General features: G+C 34.6%; 1 long non-coding RNA gene across 1 annotated transcript in view; it reads right to left on the bottom strand.

Annotated features, from left to right (window-relative positions):
- LINC01425 (long intergenic non-protein coding RNA 1425) overlaps nt 1-25704 on the bottom strand; it is a 50431-nt gene that overhangs the window by 8921 nt on the left and 15806 nt on the right. Inside the window, exons 3-4 of the long non-coding RNA NR_109958.1 lie at nt 3442-3522; nt 2104-2196 (exon numbers count right to left, since the gene is read on the bottom strand). This is a non-coding gene — a long non-coding RNA (long intergenic non-protein coding RNA 1425). The remainder of the gene's footprint in view (nt 1-2103; nt 2197-3441; nt 3523-25704) is intronic.

Raw genomic sequence — 25704 nt, 5'->3', positions numbered from 1 at the left:
CCACTAATCACAAGACATTACCAATACAATTATTTGTTAATGTCAGTTAGGAATAAATATATACATTTAAAAACACTCTGAAACAAAACATCATTTTATTTCTGAAACTGTCTTAAGCATGTGAAACTCAGATAAAAGACTTTGAGAAAAATAGACATCTTCACAATCTGAAAATGAATATCGAGTTTTGCAATATCAGAATCAATAAAGCTTCTAGTCAAAAGGCAAGTAACACAAGCAATTAAGCAATGGGTTCTGGATTCAGACTTTCTGGTTACAGACTTTAGCCATATCATAATATTTTCAAAAAGTTAAAGTCTCAATTTCCTAACATAGATGATTTGATAAGAAAATGAGTTATTAACATAAGATATAGTCAGTGCTCACTAGATGTTATCTATTAAAGCATAGAGCTTTTTCTTTATATATTCCAAAGTAGCTATATATATATTTTAAATATGGACTTTTCTAGATCTGACATTGTACGTATGTCACACACGTATCTGAGCTTAAGTTTCATTGACTATGTTCCTTTCTTTGATATAATAAGAAACCAAATTTGATGGAGCTATACATATTTTTCCAAGGACTGAAGACCATCTCAAATAAACCTGGAACATCTGAGTTTTTAAAAGACATGATATATTATTTTAATTAACATTTCAATTGGAATTATTTCTGTACTTTAAAACATGTCAACAAAACCCTGCTTCTGCTTGCTTTGGTTTCCATTTTATAAGTGAATGCCTTATGAAATAATTAGCATCTTTTACAAGCAAATTAAGATGAATAATCACAGCTGCGGTCACAGATCCAACAGACACAGTGGGCTGGCCCATTACCATATGATGTACATTCTCAGGTGAAAAAAAATCTGAAAGGTGAAGTTCATTTAGCTTCCAGTCTCAGGTGATGGGGTATCATAATAAAGAAGAGCATAGGAAGGAACTAGGGAATCTCGACCTTTTTATTAACTGCATTAAAGAAGGAGAATTACCATATCAGGTAACAAGGAAGAAAACTATGACAGGCTATAGGGCTTAAAATGTAGTAGTGTATATTATAATCTGAATAAAATAATTTTTTTTAAAAAAGCCTTAACAATGTAGATAATAATTTTGTAATCTGTGACTTAACGTAAAAGAAATTCTATTTTTCATTTCCTCAGGCTATTTCAACTAAGTTCTTCTAATTAAGCCTGATTGGTTTCCCAAATTCAAATGTCTGCCTATTCTAATAGAATCTATAGAGTAATGTAATTACATAATCCATCTATTATACACGATAAAGATAGTACAGTTAAAGTGTCAAATAGAATCAAGGCTATCTTAATGAGAAATATTTTCTATTGTAATTTTTTCTTTCCCCAAAGAGATATGAAGGTATAATTTCCTGCGTGTGTGAAATGTTTATATGAAGCTTCTAAAAAGAAAAGTCTCAAGAACCATTTCAAAGTAAAAAGTGCTTTATATTTGTGACCTTGTACAAATTTCCTAATTTTTCACGGCCTCAGTTTCCTTATCTGTAAAGTAAGAAATAGAAGCAAAATTGTCCCCTCACTATGTGAATAACCAAGGATTTTATGTGTCCCCCAAATCAATTTTTTAAAGTAAGAAAATGATATAGTGGCATTTAGCCACGTGCAGTGGCTCATGCCTCTAATCCCAGCACTTTGGGAGGCTGACTTGGGCAAATCACTTGAGGCCAGGAATTTGAGACCATGCTGGCCAACATAGCGTAACTCAGTTTCTACTAAAAATACAAAAAAATAGTTTGGCAAGGTGATGCATGCCTGTTGTCCCAGCTACTGAGGAGGCTGAGGTGGGAGAATCACTTGTACCCAGGAGATGGAGGTTGCAGTGAGCCGAGACCATGCCACTGCACTCCAGCCTGGGTGACAGAGTGATACTCTGTCTCAAAAGAACAAAAAAGAAAAGAAAAGAAAAAAATATGATATAGAGGCACTTAGAAATGTATTAGGATTGTAGCAATTATAATATCAGATTTATTGACACTGAAAGCTAAGCATTTAATTGAGAAGTGTTTTATAGGAAAAAAGGTAGAAACTGCAATTCAGTAAACTGACATTTCATCTTGACATACCTTGAACAACTCTTCTTTTGTCTGCCTCAGAAAGCATGCATTCCTGGAAAGGGATGTGTTTCAGAAGCAGGGAGAAAGCCAAAAGGAGAGATCCTGTCCGGAACACATTATAATTACTTTGTTAGAGTTTTTACTAGCATTATACTCACCTAGAATAGAGAATGGGAATGAGATAGAAAAATGAATCAACATTTTATCTGTAACACACATAACCCTTTGCACAGGAAGATAAATGTGGTCTTTCCATTGTCAGTGGATGCAAAGTTAAACAGTTTTCTGGAAACTCTAAATCATATAGACAATCTGAAGATAAGAACATAAATATTGAACAACATATATCCAACAAACATATTTGAGTGTTTAATATATCAGGCACTTGAGATATATCAGTGGAAAAAACATCAAAGATCCTAGCCTTGTAAGGACATGCATCCTGGTAAATAGTAGATGTAGTAGGTAAATGATGTAATATGTTAAAAGCAATAGGTGTTTTGGGAATATTTAAAAAGAGAATAAAAGAAGATTAGAAAAGGGGTTCAATTCAAATGCCTTAGAATTACCTGCTGGCACACTACTTTTCAGTCACATTCAGCTACATGCAATACAGGCATGAAATAGTCAGGGGGTGAAATTAATCAAGTGTTTCAAAATGAATGTTTGAAACCAAGAGACAAAGGAGATTTGAGAATGTAAGCAAGAGAATGACTGTCGTGACTAACTATACCATTAAATCTAGTAAGGAAGAGAGAAAAACCATCAAAATGTTGAAGAGGAGTTGAAAAAGAAAGTGGTATGTAGAATCAATGAAATGTGTGTTTGGTGGGTCATGGAATGGCATAAATAAGGGAATAAGAGGAGATACATTCATTCTAAACCTGGGTCCTTACATTGATCTGGTGGTAGAGTGGGTTGGATGAAATGAAAATTATGGGGAGGTTTTAGATATTGCTAATATATAAAGTAATAAACATTTTTGTCATGAAAGAGTAAAATTGTTGTCATTTCAAAGACATGAAACACAATTAAGGATTATATTATAATAAATCATTGAGTATTTCATTATGAAAAATAAAGACTGTTTCAATGATATCAAATTGAATTGAGGAAATGCTGTAAATTTTTGTATTTCATTTGAAAGTTAATATCCATCACTGAAATGGCATTGGAGATTTGCATTTGTTTCCCTTACTCATATTGGCTCAGCTCACTTGCTTGTCATGGAAAAACTGTCAATTAGATAGCCCAGTTCATATTTTGCTGATAAGAAAACAATGGCACAGATAAATGAAATGACTTCCTGGTATAGAGAAGTTCCAGGCCTCAAACTAAGCTACTCACTTTTGCCTGCCAGAATATTCCAGTAAAAACCACACCTCCTCCCTGGTAGGTAGACCCGTTGGGTCACATCTCTGCATCACTCTGTGAGTAGAACAATAGACACAGGAAAAATTAATTTTAATGACAAATAGAAAGAACTTTGGTATTCAAATTGTTTAAATTATTTACAATATTATTTTATATAACATAGTAATATGCAAAATGTAGCAATATACAAAAATAGTTAAAAAATTGACAACTTGCAGGAGTAAAGTTATGAAAATCCTTTTGTTTGTTATGTTGGAGAAAGGCGGAGAAACTTTCAAATGCCTTGAAATTGAATTTTGATTAATTACTATTTATCCATCTCCAAAAAAAAGTGCATTATTTCTTACAGTAAAGATGTCAATGGCTGTTTCCTAAAAGATGCAAGGGTGTCCAACTTCGCACAATCCTGATGCTTTCCCTGAATATAATGCAATATATCATTTTGTGATTTTACTATATGAATATCCTTCAATATCACTTTTACTGTTTGTAGTATACTAAATAGAGGTGAAACCACTTTATTTTCCAAGCTACTGTGAGTTTTCATTTAAAATAATAAAAATTAATATGAGACCTTTTGAACAAAATGCAATTTAACTTTAGTGTAGTATTTTGAAACATACCAAATTCTTCAGCTAGAATTGAAATAACTAAATATGATTATTCAGCCCAATAATTTTAAAAGGAAAAAAAAACAGTCTTTTTTAGTGCATCTCAAGAAAATGCTAAAATCATCAGTGACAAGGTTAACATTCCAGGGCATTCAATCTATCTTTTGAATATGCATTGTCAGACAAGCCCGAGATACCACCAAAACATGTTTCCCTAACAGTAAATCATCATCATGATTGCCATTATTGATCTGTAGAGTCAGTAACCGAATCTATCCATGAGATTCAACATCATCTATCTTGATACTATATAGCCCCATCCTCCTGCCTAAACTCATTAAGCTGTCATCTGTTGGTTTACATCATTTTTATTTGAGGGCCCTAGCGAAACTTTGCACTTTACTTGGTTTCTAAAACAGTTCTAAGACCAAATTGTCTCATCAGGAAAATTCCTTGTTTCCCGTTAACATCTGTTGATTCCTGTCACATCTGTTTCCAAAAATGAAGACCATAATAATTTTAAATGGGAGGATAGGTTGAGAATGAAGCAAGATGGCAGAATAGAAGGCTCCACCTATCATCCCCTGCAAGGACACTAATTTAACAACTATTTACACACAAAAAAGCACCTTCATAAGAACCAAAAAATCAGGTGACCATTCATAATCCTTGGCTTTTACTTTGTATCACTGAAAGAGGCACTGAAGAAGTAGAAAAAGGAGACTTGAATCACTGACACCACCCTTTCCCCACCCACCAGCAGCAGCAGCTTTCTTTAGAGAGAGATTTTGTGCCCTGAGAGGGAGACCCAGCAATTTTGAGCCATTGAACTCCATGCTGCCCTCCTTTATAGAAGAAAGCAAAACTAGATTAAACTCAGTTGATGCCTGTCCACTGAGGGTGCATTTAAACCAGCCCTAGCCAGAGGAGAATGACTGATCCCAGAGGTCAGAGTTTGAGTTGTCGTAAGGCTCTCCACTGCAGGCTAAAGTGGTCTGTGGCTCCAAATAAACCTGAAAGGGAGTCTAGGCCACAAGAATTGCCACACCCAGGCAAGTCATGTCCTAGGGCTCAGCTGGGCCTAGAGATAGTGGATTGGGGTGGCATGTGACCTACTGAGACTCCTCTGCCTGTGGAAAGGGGAGGGAAGAGTGGGAAGGACTATGTCTTGTGGTTTGAGTGCCAATTCAGCCGCAGCACAATAGAACCCAAGGACGATTTCTAAGGTCTTTGACTCTAGTATCTGGCTCCCTAACTGAACCTCTGGACCTTCCCAGGGGCCAGGGGAAAGAAATCACTGCTCTGAAGGAAAGGACATAGGTCTGGATGGCTACAACGCTTATTCTAGAGACCCAGCGCTTTGAGCGAACATAGGTGGTACAAGGGAGTGGTTACAGCAGACCTTGGGTAAGATCCAGTGCTGTACAGACTTCAGGTGTGACCCAGTACACACTTAGGGGTGGTGGCCACAGGGTTCTTGTGTCAATTCACCCCCAGCTCCAGGTGGCTTAGAGCGGAGAAAGAGGGAAACACACATATACTGAAAATAAAGGGATGGAGAAAGATATTCCATGCCAATGGAAACCAAAAAAGAGCAAGAGTAACTAGTCTTATCAGAAAAAGAATAGATTTCAAGACAAAAACTCTAAGAAGGAGCAAAGAAGGATATTATGTAATAATAAAGTGTTCAATTTATCAAGAGGATATAACAATTTTAAGTATATATGCACCAAACACTGGAGCACCCACATATATAAAAAAATATATTATTAGAGTTAAAGAGAGAGATAGGCCCCAATACAATAATAGCTAGATACTTCAACACCCCACTTTCAGCAATGGACAGATCTTCCAGACAAAAAACCAACAAAGAAACATTGGACTTAATCTGCATTATAGACCAAATGAATCTAATAAACATTTACATGGATCATTCTCGAGGATAGACCATATGTTAGTTCAAAAAAACAAGCCTTAAAACATTCAAAAAGATTGAAAAAATATCAAGCATCTTCTATAAACACAATGGAATAAAAGCAGAAATCAATTACAAGAGGAATTTTGGAAACTATACAAATACATGGAAATTAAACAGTATGCTGCTGAATGACCAGTGAGTCAGTAAATAAATTAAGAAGGAAATTGAAAAATTTCTTGAAATAAATGATAATGGAAACACAACCTACCAAATCCTATGGGATACAGCAAATGAAGTAATAAGAAAGAAGTTTATAGCTATAAGTGCTTACATCAAAAAAGAAGAAAAACTTCAAATAAACAACTTAATGATGCATGTAAAAGAACTAGATAAGCAAGAGCAAACCAAACCCAACATTAGTAGAAGAAAAGAAATAATAAATTTCAAAGCAGAAATAAATGAATTTGAAATGAAGAAAACAATACAAAAGATCAATGAAACAAAAAGGTGGTTTTTGAGAAGTTAAACAAAATAGACAAATTTTTAGCCAGGCTAAGGAAAAGAGATTATCCAAATAAAAAAAAAATCAAAGATAAAAAAGGAGACATTATGCCTGATACCACAGACATTGAAAGTATCATTAATAGCAACTATGAGCAACTATATACCAGTAAATTGAAAAATCTAGAAGAAATGGACACATTCTTAGACATGTATAACCTATCAAGATTGAACCAGTTGAACCAGAAAGAAATTCAAAACCTGAAAGGACCAATAACAAGTAATGAGATCAAAGTCGTAATAAAAATCTCCCAGTAAAGAAAAGCCTGGGGCTGGGTGCGGTGGCTCATGCCTGTGACCTCAGCACATTGGGAGGCCAAGGCAGGTGGATCACCTGAGGTTAGAAGTTCGAGACCAGCCTGACCAACATAGTGAAACTCCATGTCTACTAAAAATACAAAAACATTAGCCAGGCACTGGGGGTGCATCCCTGTAATCCCAGCTACTCAGGAGGCTGAGGCAGGAGAATTGTTTGAACCTGGGAGGCAGAGACTGCATGAGCTGAGACAGTGCCACAGTACTCCAGTTTGGATGACAGAGTGAGAGTCCATCTCAAAAAAAAAAAAAAAAAAAAAGAGCCCAGGACCCAGTGGTTTTACTGCTGAATTCTACCAAACTTTTAAAGAAGAACTAATACAGAGCCTATGCAATCAATTACAAAAAATATAGGAGAAGGGAATACTTCCAAACTCAGTTTAAGGCAAATATTATCCTGATACCAAAACCAGACAAAGGCATACTTAAAAAAAAGAAAGAAAGGAAACTACAGACAAAAATATCCCTGATAAATAGAGATCCAAAATTCCTTAACAAAATATAAGCAAACCAAATTCAACAATAAATTAAAAAATCATTCATCACGACCAAGTGGAATTTATCACTAGCATGCAAGGATGGTTCAAAATACACAAATCAATCAATGTGATACATCATATCAACAGAATGAAGGAAAAAACCCCACATGATCGTTTCAGCTGATGTTGAAAAAGCATTGATAAAATTCAACATCTCTTCATTATCAAAACCCTCAAAAAACTGAGTATAGAAGAAACATACCTCATCATAATTAAAGCCATATATATGAGACCCTCAGCTGTCATACAGAATAGTATCATACTGAATGAGGAAAAACATAAAAGCCTTTCCTCTAAAATCTGACAAGAATGCCCATTTTCACCACTGTTATTCAACATAGTACTGGAAGTCCTAGCTAGAGAAATCAGACATGAGAAAGAAATAAAGAGCATCCAAATTAAAATGAAAGAATTCAAATTATCCTTGTTTGCAATTAATACGATCTTATGTTTGGGCAAACCAAAGAGTCCACTAAAAAGCTATTAAAACTTGTAAACAGGTTCAGTAAAGTTGTAAGATACAAAATCAACATACAAAAATCAGAAGCATTTCTATATACCAACAGTGAACAATGTAAAAACGAAATAAAATATAATCCCATTTACAATAGCCACACATAAAATAAATATCTAGGAATTAATTTCAACAAAGAAAAGAATGATCTCTGTAATGAAAAGTATAAAACACTGATGAAAGAAATTGAGGAGGACACCAAAAAATGGAAAGGTATTTTATGTTCAGGGATTGAAATAATCAATATTATTAAAATGTCTATACCACCAAAAACAATCTACGGATTCAATGCAATCCCTATAAAATTATCAATGACATTCTTCACAAAAATAGAAAAAAAAACCTAAAATTGTTATGAAACCACAAAAGATCCACAATAGCCAAAACTATCCTAAGCAAAAAGAACAAAACTGGACAAATCATATAACCTCACTTCAAATTATATTACAGAGTTACAGTAACAAAACAGGATGGTACTGGCATAAAACACACACACACACAGACACACACACACACACACACACACACACACGGAACAGAATAGAGAACCCAGAAACAAATTGACCCACATACAGTGAACTCATTTTCAATGAAGGTGCCAAGAACATACACTGGGGAAAAGACAGTCTCTTCAATAAAAGAGGAAAACTGGGAAATTCATATGCAGAAGAGTGAAACTAGACCTCTATATCTCACCATCTATAAAAATTAAATAAAAATGTATTAGAGAATTGAATCTAAGCCCTCAAACTATGAAACTATGACAAGAAAACATTGGAAAAATTATCAAGTATATTGGTCTGCACGAATATTTCTTGAGTAAACACCCCACAAGCACAGGCAACCAAAGCATATATGGACAAATGGGGTCATATCAAGTTAAAAAGTTTCTGCACAGCAGAGAAACAATCCACGACGTGATGAGACAACCCACAGAAGAGGGAAAATATTTGCAAACTACCATCTGACAAGGTATTAATAACCAGAATATATAAGGAATTCAAACAACTCTGTAGGAAAAAGTCTAATAATCTGCTCAAAAGATGGACAAAAGATTTGCATGGACATTTCTCAAGAGAAGACTTCCAATTGGTAAATGGACATATGAAAAAGTGCTTAACATCATTGATCATCAGAGAAATTCAAATAAAAAAATACAATGAGATATCATCTCAGTTGAAGTGGCTTTTATCAAAAAGGCAATAACTAATGCTGGCAAGGATGTGGATAAAAGAGAACCCTCTTGTACATTGTTGGTAGGAATGCAAGTTAGTGCAATCACTATGGAGAAATGTTTGGAGGTTCCACTACCATATGATCCAGCAATCCCCTGCTGATTATATACCTGATATAGTTTGGCTATGTCCCCACCCAAATCTCATCTTGAATTGTAACTCCCACAATTTCCACATGTCTGGGAGGGACCCAGATGGAGGTAATTGAATGATGGGGGAAGGTCTTTCTCATGCTGTTCTTGTGATAGTGAATAAGTCTCATGAGATCTGATGGTTTTGTAAAGAGGAGTTCCCCTGCACAAGTTCTCTCTCTTTGCCTGCCGCCATCCATGTAAGACGTGACTTGCTCCTCCTTGCCTTCCACCTGATTGTGAGGTCTCCCCAGCCACGTGGAACTGTAAGTCCATTAAACCTTTTTTTCTTCCCAGTCTCTGGTATGTCTTTATCAGCAGCATGAAAACTGACTAATACAGTAAATTGGTACCAGTAGAGTGGGGCACCCAAAATGTGTAAGTGACTTTGGAACTGGGTAACAGGCAGAGATTGGAACAGTTTGGAGGACACAGAAGAAGACCGGAAAACGTGGGAAAGTTTGGAACTTCCTAGAGACTTGTTGAATGGCTTTGACAAAAATGTTGATCATGATATGAACAATAAGATTAAATCTGTGGTGGTCTCAGATAGAGATGAAAAACTTGTTAGGAACTGTATCAAAGGTGACTCTTGTTATGTTTTAGCAAAGAGTCTGGCAGCATTTTGCCCCTGCCCCAGAGATTTGTGAAACTTTGAACTTGAGAGAATGATTTAGGATATCTGGCAGAAGAAATTTCTAAGCAGCAAAGCTTTCAAGAGGTGACTTCAGTGCTGTTAAAGCATTCAGTTTTATAAGGGAAGCAGAGCATAACAGTTCAGAAAATTTGCAGCTGGACAATGCGATAGAAAAGAAAATCCCATTTTCTAAGGAGAAATTTAAGCTGGCTGCAATGACAATCCCCAAGACAATGGGGAAAATGTCTCCAGGGCATGTCAGAGAGGTCTTTACTGCAGCCCTTCTCATCACAGGTCCAGAGGCCTAGGACAAAAATATGGTTTTCTGGGCTGGCCCAGTGTCCCAGTGCTGTGTGCAGCCTAGGAACTTGGTGGCATGAGTCCCAGCCACTCCAGCCGTGACTAAACGGGGCCAAAGTAAAGCTCAGGCCGTGGCTTCAGAGGGTGCAAGCCTCAAGTCTTGGCAGCTTCCACATGGTGTTGAACCTGCAGGTGTACAGAAGTCAAGAATTGATGTTTGGGAACCCCCACTTAGATTTCAGAGGATATATGGAAATGCCTGGATGCCCAGGAAGAAGTTTGCTGCAGGGGTGAGTCCTTCATGGAGAACCTCTTCTAGGGCAGTGTGGAAGGGAAATGCAGGGTTGAAGCTCCCACATAGAGTCCCCACTGGGGCACTGCCTAGTGGAGCTGTGAGAGAAGGCCACTGTCCTCCAGACCCCAGAATGATAGATCCACTGACAGCTTGCACTGTGTGCCTGGAAAAGCCACAGACACTCAATACCAGCCCATGAAAACACCCAGGTGGGAAGCTGTACCCTGAAAAGTCACAGAGTCAGTGCTGCCCAATACTATAGGAACCCACCTCTTGCATCAGCATGACCTTGATGTGAGACATGGAGTCAAAGGAGATTATTTTGGACCTTTAAGATTTGACTACCCAGCTGGATTTTGGAGTTGCATGGACCCTGTAGCCCTTTTGTTTTGGCCAATTTCTCGCATTTGGAATCGCTGTATTTACCCAATACCTGTACCCCAATTGTATCTAGGAAGTAACTAGCTTGCTTTTGATTTCACAGGCTCATATGTGGAAGGGACATGCCTTGTCTCAGATAAGACTTTGGACTGTGGACTTTTGGGTTAATGCTGAAGTGAGTGAAGACTTTGCCAGACTGTTGGGAAGGCATGATTGGTTTTGAAATGTGGGGACATGAGATTTGAGAGAGATGAGGAGCAGAATGATATGGTTTGGCTATGCCCCCACCCAAATCTCTTGATGAATTGTAACTCCCACAATTCCCACGTCATGGGTGGGACTCAGTCGGAGGTAATTGAATCACAGGGGTGAGTCTTTCTTGTGTGGGTCTCAGCATTCTGAATAAGTCTCACAAGATCTGATGGTTTTATACAAAGGAGTTCCTCTGAACAAGCTCTCTCTCTTTGCCTGCCACCATTCATGTAAGACGTGACTTGCTCCTCCTTGCCTTCCACCATGATTGTGAGGCCTCCCCAGCCACATGGGACTGTAAGTCAGTACCCAATTGAATACAATACCCAAAAGAAAGGAGACCAACATATGCAAGAGATATGTCCAACCCCATGCTTGTTGCAGCTTTGTTTACAAAAGCCAAATCTTGGAAGCTGCCTCAGTGTCCATCAACAGATGAAGGGAAAAAAAAAAAAAACTGTGGTACATGGGCGGGCACAGTGGCTCACACCTATAATCCCAGCATTTGGGAGGCCAATGAAGGTGGATCACCTGAGGACAGGAGTTCAAGACCAGCCTGGCTAACATGGCAAAACCCTGTTTCTACTAAAAAATACAAAAATTAGCCAGGCGTGGTGGTGGGCACCTGTAATCCCAGCTACTCAGGAGGCTGAGGCAGGGATAATTGCTTGAACCCAGAGACGGAGTCCGCAGTGAGCAAAGATTGTGCCATTGCACTCCAGCTAGTGGAACAGAGCAAGACTCCATCTCAGCAAAACAAACAAACAAACAAAAAAAAATAGAAAAAGAAACTGTGGTATGTATAGACATGATGTGCTATTCAGTCATATAAAAGAATGAGGCCTTGTCATTTCCAACACCATAGAAGGAATTGTAGGTCATTATGTTAAGTAATATAAGCCTGGCACAAAAAGACAAACGTCATATGTTCTTATGTATTTATGGGATCTAAAAATCCAAACAACTGAACACATGCAGATAGAGAGTAGAAGGATGGCTACCAGAGGCTGAGAAAGGTAGTGGGGAGTTGGAAAAAGGCTTAGTAACAGGTACAAAAAATAGTCCAAATGAATGAATATGGCCTAGTGTTTGATAGCACAATAGGGTGCCTATAGTCAGTAAAAATTTAATTGTACATTTCAAAATAACTAAAACAGTATAACTGAATTGTGTGTAACACAAAGAATAGATATTGACAAGATGGATAACCCATCTTTCATAACGTGATTATTATGAATTCCATTCCTGTATCAAAATATCTCATGAACTCCATAAGTATATATGTCTACTATGTACCCACAACAACTTTTTAAAAAGAAATAAACCTCTTGCATTTAACACATCAAAAAAATGGGAAGACAGCTGTCATCACTGAACATAGCATGTCATATAGGTCGTGCATGTTTATTTTCATGTCTACACGTATACTTACAAGAATGTATAATAAAATAATAATTCAATAGCTATCAGAATATAGGAAACACTACATAATGATACCTGTTATGGTGTACATTCAGAATAAATTAAGAATTGTTGAATACTATTTAATACTGTTACCTGTATCGTTGAAATAATAAAGTGGTAATAAAGAAATAATTTAGTTAATACTATTTACCTAGAGTTAAGTTGAAGATGTTTTGGTTTAGGAACTTAAGTTCTTTCCTTACCTTCATTTCCAAAGACTTTCAATTAATGAATTGCAGTATGTGTGTGAATATCATGACAATGCACACTAAATATTGTATCTATGTTCATTTCTCTTAACCGATGAGAAAAAGATTAAGAGTTTTTAACAAATTATCAGGAAAGCCCATGATTTATAAAGTATTTAAAACTACAAGATACATAGAAAACATGATTTTTTAAATTCAACGAATAATTGTAATAGTTGATTTGCTGAAAATAAAGAAGTAGTATATTGTACTTAAGAGTTTACACTCAAAACATTGAAAGTAAACATTAAATATCAGCTCAATATCAAAATGAAACATGAAACATGTTTTATCTACAGGTTAAAATCTCATGTGTTAGGAGCTTTTAGAAAAAAGCAAACAGTTTATGCAACAGGGAGAAATATATTTACATATATATGTGTATATATATACACACACATATTTCTCCCTGTTGCATAAAGGAGAAATATACATATATACATATATTTCTCCCTGTTGCATAAACTTATATATATACACAAGTTGGTATAATATATATCCTTTTTGACTTTTGAGTACCTTATTATGCTCTTTCCTGTAATTTCTATATTCTGTAATTAACAATTAAATGTTATACTTAAGAAAGTATAATAATTGCTGTTACAATAAAATTTATAACTAGTTTATAGGTGATAAAATTTTGAATTTTTAAATCACAGAAGGTGTAGGCAATTGAACATATTCTTTCTAATCTCTAAAGTGTAAGGTAAAAAATTAAGGTACATCATATCTATATATACTTATATAGATATATGTATATATATGTATATGTGTATGTATCTATACATATGTGTGTGTGCATATAGATAGATAGATAGATAGATAGATAGATAGATAGATAGATAGATTCAATCATCTTGGTGCAAATATACTATGCACTAGACTCTTGGCAACAAAGGTGGAAATGATGTAATTTATTATCCCTATCTTCAAGGACTTTACGTTCTGGTGAACTATTTAATTACATTAGGTTGTTGCAAAAGTACTTGAGGTTTTTCCATTACTTTCAATGGCAAAAACCACAACTACTTTTGTACCAAACTCATAATACAACTCTAACACAATGAGGACACTACAATGATGGAGATACACACAAGGTTGGACTAGCAAATGCTGAAAATATTTTCTGGAGAAAGCGACAGGAGGACTGCAAATGCCTTCAGTGCCACCATTCTGTGAACTCCTTGGGTTTCCAGCCTATCATCTTGTGACATCAACTATGAACTCAGCACATAGCAAAAGTACACTGTGCACATTAGGGGTCTTTAAAATACTTTATACTGAATGTAGATTAAGTTATATACTCATTCACATTGTATCAATTCCACCCTACTTAGGACTAAGCTCTTTTTCTAAACCTGGATTTAGTTAAACATACAGGTTTTGAGGACAAAAGTAAAATAGTAGTGAAGATGTATATATCTCCATTTTTGAAGATTTCTAAGATTTTGTTCATTGACACTGTACTAGCCATGATGAATTTTGCAGTCATGAGCATAATTCTAGGCACAAAACTGCACTTGTGCACTTTCTTTCTCTCTTTTTTTCTCTCTCTCTTCGTATGTGTATGTGTGTGTGTATTACCTTTATATTATGTAAATTTCCCATAATTTGTGATGTATGCATGCATACATCCACACATATACACCCATTTTATTTTTTTAAAAAAACTTTGTATTATGAAAAATTTTAATCATGTGCAAAATTATATAATGGATCCCCACGGATCTCTCACACAGCTTTGATAAATGTCAACACAAAATTAATCTTGTTTCATTTATACCCTCATCCACTTATGCTCTAGCATATTATTTTAAAGCAAATCTCATAGGTTAGATCACGTCATCTCTAAATATTTTATTATTTTACTCAAAAAGAAAAGGAATATTTCTCCTTTCTAGGAACTCATTATTTATATACCTGTAAACACAGATACATAGAAAATGATAAGAAACAGGCAATAAAAATGAATAAAAATATAGGGAGATACAGAAAATTGGAAGGAATACTGTTATTTAGCACAGCCAGAATATAGCAAATAAGCTTTTCAAGATAGTAGGTGAGTCTTATATATTTAAAACATTTCTAAAGTCATTTTTGATGTTACTGATTTTCATGTTGAAATAACCTCTGAAAGTTTTTATACAAATCTAAATGTGTTTGATGTTCCCCTTCCTGTGTCCATGTGTTCTCATTGTTCAAATCCCACCTATGAGTGAGAACATGCGGTGTTTGGTTTTTTGTCCTTGCGATAGTTTGCTGAGAGTGATGGTTTCCAGCTTCATCCATGTCCCTGCAAAGGACATGAACTCATCATTTTTTATGGCTGCATAGTATTCCATGGGGCCTGTTGTGGGGTGGGGGGAGGGATAGCATTAGGAGATATACCTAATGTTAAATGACCAGTTAATAGGTGCAGCACACCAACATGGCACATGTATACATATGTAACAAACCTGCACATTGTCCACATGTACCCTAAAACTTCAAGTATAATAAAAAAAAAAGAATACCCTCAAAAAATCTAAATGTGTTTTGCTTGAACAGAATCCCATTTCATATTTTTTGAAACAAAAAGCATTTCTTGCACATGTGGTATACATATTCTTCATACTAAAGATTTAAAGCAGAATAGGAAATGATTCTAAATTTGTGGACCCAGATAAAAGTATTCTATGTGATATGAATCAAGAATTTCCTCAAATAGGAGTCTTTTCTGAGTCTTAAATTTGAAAAATAATTTTCTTAGCCCTGCCACAAAATTAGGAAGTTTCTTAGTAAATGAAAGCCAGCAGCCCATGCAAAGACTCATCGATATGAATGAACTTGGTGGGTTCTGGCAGACGGAAGGATTGTGCTTGGTAGGGGAGGGAGTAAGTGGAGATTTAGTGTAAGGAGTTGAGAAGTCAGGGGAGATACTGTGCTAAGGAGTTCAAAACTTTTTGCTCCAGGCAGAGGGAAGTGACTAGAAGATTTGTGAACAGATTTGTGTTTTTCAAAGTCTAGGTTCAGTGTAAGAAGTGGACTTAATGCAGGAGAGATTCAAGACAGCAACAGGAAGTTTTACAAGAGCTGATGAGACACCCACTAGCCGTCCTAATTCAGTCTTTCCTAGTTTCTCACAGTAAAACCAAGGGAAGGCTTATGGACCCTCATCCGATTGTATGCCAAGAGTAGATTAGTAGGAGGTAGTAGAATACTAGTAGTCTACTCTGGGTATAGGCAATAAGGGGGTATATTTTATGTGGAGAAATTTAAAACAATAATGAAACTGACTAAATGTCTGTTTCTTATTTTCATACTAGCTGACAATGCTAAAACATATCAGAAGATATATTTGTTAGCCTAAGTTATAAACAATTGCTGTGATTAATGTTGTTTTAATAATACATCTGTCAGTTACAACTTGGAAGTTTGTATTACTTATCATTTAATCAACATTATATTCTATGGGAAATTTAATTCAAAGAATCCCTAGTTATATAGTCAACCCCGAATGCAAGGAGATTCACCTACACATTTTCATCTTGAGAGGAAATTTGTAAGAATTCATAATTGTTTGACCTTCCTTAAATTCATCTTGTATCTTTAACCCCAAAATAATTGCATAATTCTGTGTGCAAGAACTGTATGCAATTTTTCTTTTATGAGTTATCTTTTTCCCCTAATGTAAAGATTTAAATGAGGTTAATGAGAAGCCAAATATATTTGCAAGTAGCCAGAATTAGTCTTGAAAAAAATATACAGTGGACCACTAAGCTGAAATCAATCTTTGAAAATTAGTACATGGAAACTGTGGAGTAGGACATTGTGCAGCCACAACATTAAGGGAATGGATCCTTCCAAAGAAAAGTAGAATCAAGTTGCTAAGAAGAAGACCAAGAGAACTGAAAAAGGTGCTCATCTTATATAGTCAAAGATTTTTAAAAGTGGGATGGTTTATTGCCTAGATTGTTCTCTTTAATAAATGGATACTCATTCTAAATTGATGAATTAATAATGCCAATATTTGTTATTATTCAGCTGTTTCTACAATTTTTATAAAAGACAAAAAAGTAACAATATTTTAATAAATATCATTAAAATTCATGGTGTATTTTCTGTTGAAGATGTTTTATGGGAAATTTTGTAAGAGCAAGAAAGAAAACAACATTATAATATGTATTTCAAATAGGATATTTATAAACTTCTGCAAAACTCATCTTTATATTGAAGACTTTTGTTAATAATTTGTGTTCCTTGTTTCTTCGTGTAATAGAACATTTTCAAAACTAAAATTAATAATAAGTATTCTTTCACCAACAAGGAGAGAAAGAAGAAGGATGAATCTGGTTATAATAGCTATAGGACATGAAGAAGATCAACTTTGATAAAGTGATTGATAAATTCACATAAGTTAAGGCTGAAAAAAAATGTAATATTTATAAATATAACAAATCCGTACATCATATATTTTTCCTTTTTAAAAAGATATTGCAATTAAAAACTATCCATTATTTTCCTTTCAGATTTTATATTTTTTTGAATTTTTCTTTCATAATTCTACATATATGAAATTCAGAAACATAAAATTCTCACCCTGCAAATTTTTTGCCATAATTCACACTTATTTCATCTTATTAATAGCCCAGAAAATAATGTTGTCCTATAGACAAGGAGGATGCTAAAAAATGATTCACCCCGGCTGTCAAACAAAACAGACATTGCCCTCATTAGAACTCTAAACATCTCGATTTAAATCACCTTGCACCAACCTCTGAAAAAACTTAAATTCTATCAAAAGTTTACTGTATAGATTGGATATTAAGGAATTATTATACATTTTTAGCTATGCATGATGATGACATTACATTTACATATGAAAAGTGGAAGGCCATAAAGTCTGAGATATTTTTGAGACATTTTATCACCAAAAGAAAAAAACATGTGAGGAAACAAAGAAGGTATTAAAAAGATATCAAACAAGTTTAGAAGACTGTTTATCATTTGAATGATGTATATTTGGAAGATTGTTATAATATTCTCTCTCTGTGCAGAATAATTCATTTTTTTCATAACAAAAAATAATCATGAAAGAGTTCAGCTTGATCAATGGATCTGGATTGATACATTACATCATTATGTTTTCTGAGAAAACCTGACCATCAGCAGGACTGAATAAAAAAAAAACATAAATTTTAGTACTTGTCTTAAAGACTCAAAGTCTACCTTAAAACTGTGTACTTATTCTTCCACAACAGAGATACTTATTTTGTAGGGAGGATATAATACTTTTTGTAGTCCATCTTGATATCTCGCTCCCTCTTTTTTCCCCTCATCAATATATCTTATTCTGCCTGCATTCAAAAATTGCAACTTGTAAAGTAAGCATGTCTGGAGATGGAAAACCTGTAGTAAATGCGGTAACACAAAAAGTTAAAAGATGAAAGGAATTCTTCTTGTTGCAATGTATCATGGGAATTATGAATTAGTTTATTAGGTTATGAATTATGAATGAGTTTATTCATTAGTTCATATGAATTATGGATTAGTTTATTCTTCAGTTCAGAAATCCACTGAAATACTCAGTGGGAATAAGAGAAGAATCCAACTCAGTGAAGTAATAGCCCACAAATAGCTTCACTTTATTACTTTTTATGTTCCAGCATCTCTGATAGTTGATACGCACATTTCCATTTTTAATTCAGGAAAATATTAAGTAAAGGCTCAGGAATCTAAAGAAAATAGGACAAAACAGGTAAGATAAATGTGCTAAGTAGAAGAATATTTGCAACAAGTGTGTCTACAAATGTGGGAAAGGAAAGAAAAGATCTTACAATAAGGAAGCTGAACCCACGCACCTAATCCATCACCTGTGGAAGCAGCAGGCCAGGAAGGACACTTAGTCCAAAATAGAAAATATATGAAGTTAAAGTTAATGAAGCCATTGGTCAGAGTCTTACAAAGACAAGGGCCACAGAAAGAGGAGGCAAACAAGGTGGGAGAACTTAAGTTCTGTTTCTGGAAAGGTAAAAAAAATAAGAAAAGACTATTTCTGCAGAGGCAGGAGCAGAGTATATAATCAGGAAGTCTGAAGGGCAAAGAATTAGGAAAGTCCCCAAGTAGTGTCGAGGGAAATTAAAAGGTACATAGTTAGAAAGATAAGGAAGATTTATCTTTCTTGTTGCAAAAGACTATTGCAACAGGAAAGAAAACAAAAGGCAGTCTGAACTGAATTCAGGAAGTCTGAAGCACCAAGAATTAGGAAAGTCCCCAGATAGTCTCAAGGAAAAATTAAACCTGACAAAATAAAAACGCTAAGGAAGATTTTATTCAAGACTATTGCAACAGGGAAGATAAAACAAAAGGCAGTATGGACTGAACTCTGCTGCAGCAAAAGCCTGGAGAGTTTTGAAGAGCTGGGGTGGTAGATTATAAGCCGTGTGTGTTTTCAAATTAGCCTCATTCAAAGGAAATATAATTTCAACTTTTATTTTAGATTCAGCAGGTACACGTGCAGGTTTGCTAGATGGGTATATTGTGTGATGCTGGGTTTTAGTATTGATGATCTCATCACCCAGCGGGTGAGCATAGTACCCCACAGGTAATTTTTCAGCCCATTCCTCTCTTCCTCCTTCCTCCCTCTAGTAGTCTGTAGGGTTCCATCTTTATGTCCACATGTATTTGGTGTTTAGCTCCCACTTATATGTAAGAACATGCTGTATCTGGCTTTCTGTTACTGCGTTGATTCACTTAGAATAATGGCTTATTATTTGCAGAATGTAAACTCTCTTTTTATGACTGAAGGAAAATTTACAACTTAGATTTAGGCTTCTGTGCTCAGATAGAGACTGGGAGATGGGGGCTCTATCTTCCTTAATGATTACATTTCAAAGGGAAGGCTCCCAGGTCCTTGAAAAAGACAGTCCTTTTGAAACAGCTTGAAATCTCAAAGAAGCAGAGGAAGAACTTGCAATTACATGTTGTCAAAACTATATGCTTTAAGAAATGAGAGTTTAGGGTCTTAGAATCAGAAAGAAGTCTGTCCAAGATTTAGTCAAGCTGAAAAGAACATTAAAACCATCTTGTTCAGCATGGTTGTTGCTAAAATGCAGAACTGAGGAACAGAGCTATCTCTATTTATTAGTTACCTTTGATTACCTTGTAAGAAGGTATTTCTGTACTTTAAAGGATCCAGTGATTAAGATTAGCCCTAATTTCCATAATACAATGTTCTTCTTCATTTTGACCCTTCTTTTATCAAGGCACATTTCCCTTCTAAGATTTAGGCAAAGGTATCAAATGGTCCTTCACCAAGGCCTTTGATAAACCCAGAAGGCTGATTGAAACTGAAGAAAATGAAAGTGTAATGGAAGAGCACATACATGTGCTCAGTACTACAGAGGACTTCAGTCATTGAGGTACAGGTCTTTCAGTCAAGGAGCTCCTCTATATTTCCAGTTTGGAATTATCCAGGGAGACTAGTGTGTATGAAACAAACAGAGAGAAGCCAAAGGAAGTGTTTGGCCATAATGCAGAATGGATGGAGAAGGCCAGTTGCTGAGAACATATTAAAATAATAAAAGAGGTGCACTAATTCAGAGACAACCAATATGGGAAGGAAATGATTTAATTAAAGGATGATGAAGCACTGCAATGCAGAGTCTCCAAAGTGCTCACCAAGTCATTTTTTCAATCCTATACACAAAGCTAAACTATTCTTTTCTGGCCTACAACCACCATCTTGTAGAAAGATGAAACCATGGGATCAAGTTTTGGCTGATAAAATATGGGCAGAGATGAGGCATCTCTCTTCCTGGTCTATTACCTAAATTTTCTTTTTCCCTCTTTCCTCTTGAAGGCTGGAAAGGTGGAAATGAGTCTGTGGAGAGCTCCATATTTTTGAAGGATGTTGGAACCACTTAATGGAATACCTATATCCTGTATCTCAGTTCTTTAAAAAGCGCCGTCCTAGAGAGTTGCATGTTTAGCAAATTTACATTGGATGTAGGAAGAGCAAAACATATACGTTTGCTGTGTTAAGCCACAGGGATATTTGATTATTTATTTTGGCAGTTTACTGAGTTCTTAGTTCTAGAAGTAAAGCACAAAAACAAGGCTGACAAAATAAATGTAGAACGTTGGAACAAAAATGAGAATGAATAAAATCTCTAAGGGAAAGAAAAAGGCCAAAAGAAGCAATACTCAAAAACGGAGCTCTTGGAATGCGTCAAATTGGGAAACAAAAGGAGGATAAGTAGCTCTAAAGGAATAAAATAAACCGATTATGTAATAAGTATATAATAACATGATGTCATTGAAAATAGGAGAGTGAACATTTTTTTAAAAATGAGGGGTTAAACTGAATAAATAAGATCCAGACTACATTGATTAAATGTGTACATGAGAGGGATTCTGAAATTTTAAGTTCAATTTATCATAAAACTTACAGTTGAAGGGAGACATTTTATTCAGTGCTCTCATTTTAAAAGGGATATGGAAAAATTAATAGAGAAAGATATAATGATTAAAATTACACATAATACAGTGAGTCTTTTAATCAAGATAAACTATCATGAATGTTTCAGCAACAGATTTTTTCAAATATATTACTGTGTGTTGTTTTATGTTAAAGTCAGTGCCAGACACTTAAGGAGTCAATGTAAAAGTAGACTGAATTTCTTCACTCTTATTCCAGTGAAATTATTAGAAAATTGATCAATGCTTAATTATTTAACAGGGAAGTTTTGCTTGTGTTATTACTAGAAAAAAGAGATACTAGCAAAAATATATCTAAACATCCAAATAGTGATAATATAGCAGACCAGGAAATGTTAGAATTGTATGCAATTTTAGACTCTGAATCTAAAATTATTTAACTAGCAGGAACCTCTAGGACATACTCATGAATGAGCTACAGGGTGTCATTGTATTCCTGAAATTAAAAGTAAAATACAAAGTGCAAGTCATTTTTATAGAGAGAAGATATAACTTTAATCAAATTTTCAAAATGTCCATGACTCAAAAAGATCAAAAGAAATTGTTATAGTTCAGCTTTATCCCTTTTCAAATGAGGCACGTAAAATTCAGACCAATAAAATGTCACACAGGTAGTTAAAAAATTACCACCGTAATATATGTTTTCTTATCTATAGTACTATTCTTTTCCAGATACTGTTCTATGAAGAATTCTAGAAGCAATAAAAAAATTCAAATCAAATGATACAGTTACAGGGGAGAGGCAGGGGATGTTTTTTCTCATTCTTTAAGACCATACAGCTCTTTTATTCTGTTGCTTCCCCTGTAAAATGCCTGGAACCATTCTAATAAGCATAACGATTTACATGTTCTGGGATAGTTATTAAATCTGTCTAGGCCTTTCAGGCAAGGTATTATCAATTCTACTTTTTCTTTACATATTATATTTTCCATTACTTTTATATTTGGTCTCTTATGAAAGGTCTCCAAGTCTTTCCCATGTATTTTCATGTTCGATAACTACAAATTAAAGACATGGTAAATACTCTAGTAAAATATTCCTTTCCTGAAGCATTTTTTATTATTTATTCTTTACTCTTCCAGATATTTCACTTATGTAATTACTTTGGTCTCTCTAAAGTTGAAGGAACTTTGGAGAAAATAAAAGTATCCATTTAACTGAATTAATTACTGTAACACAAGTTTTTGAGATTTTTCATGAAATTTGATAGCAGTGTAATGTAGTCAAAGAGAATAGACTCTGAAGCATTTATGAGCTGCTTTGAAATATCTCCAACAATTAATTAACTGTGTAACATTGGGTATATTATTTTACTTCTATGAGTGTCCATCTCCTTCTTAAAATGGAAGTATTAGTAGAGAGACTAAAGGTTTTTAAATTAAACGTATCAATGAATTAGAAATAATAGATTTAAATTTCCTATAACCCTTCCCAAAAATTTTAATTATTTGTTAAATCTTAATGTATCATTTGAAATATATATTAGCAACCTTACTCAAGATTATTAATTTATGCTAAAAGATAATACAATATTGATTATTAGATTTTATCATTTTGTCTTTCAGTTATATCCTACATTGTCTTTTTTTTCGGTTTTTAGGTTAATGTTGAATTCCACAAATAATTTGGATTTTCTCAATTTTATTTTTTCATTTTTTTATTATACTTTAAGTTTTAGGGTACATGTGCACAACGTGCAGCTCCGTTACATATGTATACATGTGCCATGTTGGTGTGCTGCACCCATTAACTGGTCATTTAACATTAGGTATATCTCCTAATGCTATCCCCTCCCCCCATCCCACAACAGTCCCACAACCCCTAGTTCAAAGGGAATTATGGATGAACAAAGTGTGAAACACATAAAAACCAAAACTGGTTTTATTTAATAATGAGTTGAAAGTTCAACAGCTCACCTGCTGATTTGACATTTTTCCCCAACACTATAATCCTCCTGAGAGTTCATATTTAAAATAGTAATGGGGATGTATTTATGGGAGAATTATGTTTGAACTCTATATCTCTTCCTAGGCACCAATTTTATTTTGTATAGTATTTTAAGGTACAAATTGCGTGTGTGTGTGTGAGTGAGTGTGTGAATGCTGACGATAATGTGTATACATCTTCAATCCTAGCACAGAGAAATGACAATTTTGACTCCCAAAATATTACTTTTACTTCCCACAGCTTCTTATTGTTCCTTTCTTTGTCCAACAATTTGTCTATAAGAAGTGTTTTCTAAAGTTTGACAAAATATTTAACCTAATTATTTTAAAGCTTAAAAAAATCAAGTCTGAGGAACATAAATAGAAAGGAACTGGAGTAATACTGCACAGGCCATGCTTTACTGAGATAACATATTCACATGTCCCAGAATCTCAGCAACTTGCAGCTCTTTCTTTATTTTATTTATTTATTCATTATTTTCACAACTTAATTTAAAATATGCTTACTAGTATATTATGAAGAAGCTCAATAAATAATTGATACTACCGTGAAAATAGATATATTTTGTAGTTTGAAATATGCATATTACAATTTTTGGAACAAATGAGAACACTGTATTTTCTACATAAAGAGTGGTAGTCACATATGTTAATGTCTGAATTACAATATGACACAGCACAAGGCAGCACAATATGTCACAATAACAACACTGGGTACAATGTACCTCTGTGCTATAAACTTGGAATTGTTTTATTGATGCCCTGGCAATGTGAACGTGAGTATCTGGTTATAATTTAATGTGAAAAGTGTTTCTGCAGGCATTTTAACAGTGGACATTTTTATTGTTAGTCAAATCTAGCTTTTTGCAAGACAGGTAAACATAAAACAATCATGACATGTTATTTCATTGTTTAGTGACCAATATATCCGAGAAATATTTTTCCAAATGCAAATAACATTCCTATTTTCAATGCTAAAAAAGATAAATATTTGTCAAAACTGAGTACACCGAATGTTGTGTGTTTTACACATGATTTTTTCATTGTTCTATAAGTACATGGATTTTAACAAATATAACTCTTCATGCTTTAAACATAAATATTTTATTAATAACTGAATTTTTTTTAAAGTCATGGCTCTTGGAGATTTGCATGAGTTTAAATATATTAAGTACCTCACAGAATGCCTAATACTCAATGGAGACATGTTTCCTTCAATTTCCCTTCTTTATTAAAGATTATGATTTACTTTCTGCTATGTTTTAAAAGATAATTTAATTTACTGTAAATCCATAAATTGATGATGGATGTCAAAAATTTCCCCCTCATCAAGTCTAAAGCAGTATCTTCATTTTAGAAAATCTCCTTCAATTTTTCTCTCCAAGCAAATATCTCCCAAATTTTAAATTATGTCTTATTTTATTTTCATTAGCTAATTTACAAACATGATGAATACAAATCTCACTCTAAGTACTACGCTGAACATTAGGAATATGATGTCAGTAAGAAAAATATATTTTCTATCCTCAGATGCCTTACATTTCTAATGGGAAAATATGGAATAGAAACAATTAAGTAAATAATTTAACTCCTTAGAGTGCTCTGTGCTTTGAAAATTCAAAGGAAAAATATCGGTCAATGTATGACAAGACGAAAAGCTACTTTTGGAAGGATATGCTGAAAGAAGAACTCTTTGATCTTGATATGTCCTACATCTCATTGACAAGACATGAAACTCTGAGGAAAAGACCGTCTAGGTAAATAAATAAACAAGGACGGTGCCTTGATTGGAATGAGTTTGATTTGACAAAGGAAAAAGAATTACCAGCCTCATGTTTACATTACAGAAAGAGTTTTCTAGCTATATTTATCCTTGCCATCCTACATTCAGTTCTCCAGACAGCAGCATTTGTTGAAAAACATCATCAGATGCTTTGCTTGGCTAGTGAAAGGACTTCAGTAACTTCTTTTGAAATATAAAATAAATTCCAAATGATTTACTATAGCCTGCAAAGCCAACTCATGCTCAATCTTGTCTTTCTGACATCATCTTCCATTAGTACTTTTCTCATTCAACAAGCTCCAACAATATTGATTTCATGGTAAAGGGCAGAACATTAACACACACATGCTTTATCGGTTTGCAACTGATGACAGTTTGAAGACTAAGATGCATTGGTGAAGGTGACAAGATGTATCCTTGACTTGGAATGTAATCATACTTGATATTCTTCAGAGTGTTGTAACTGAGAAAGAAAAAGCAAGGATGTGCCCAAGGTTTTGGTCTGAGAAATTAAGTAAGAAGAAGAATGTGACTGGGTGTAACATGGGCAAAGCTGAATTTATTATTGCTCAACCCCTCCCAGTCTGGCCCTTTGCTCTATTACCTGGCAAGTCATTCATTTGAAGT

The sequence above is a fragment of the Homo sapiens genome, chromosome 21 (genome assembly GCF_000001405.40).
Source record: "Homo sapiens chromosome 21, GRCh38.p14 Primary Assembly".
NCBI classification, from domain to species: Eukaryota; Metazoa; Chordata; class Mammalia; order Primates; family Hominidae; genus Homo; species Homo sapiens.
The sequence above is the reverse complement of the archived record's forward strand: the minus strand, read 5'-3'. Positions and strand labels throughout refer to the sequence as shown.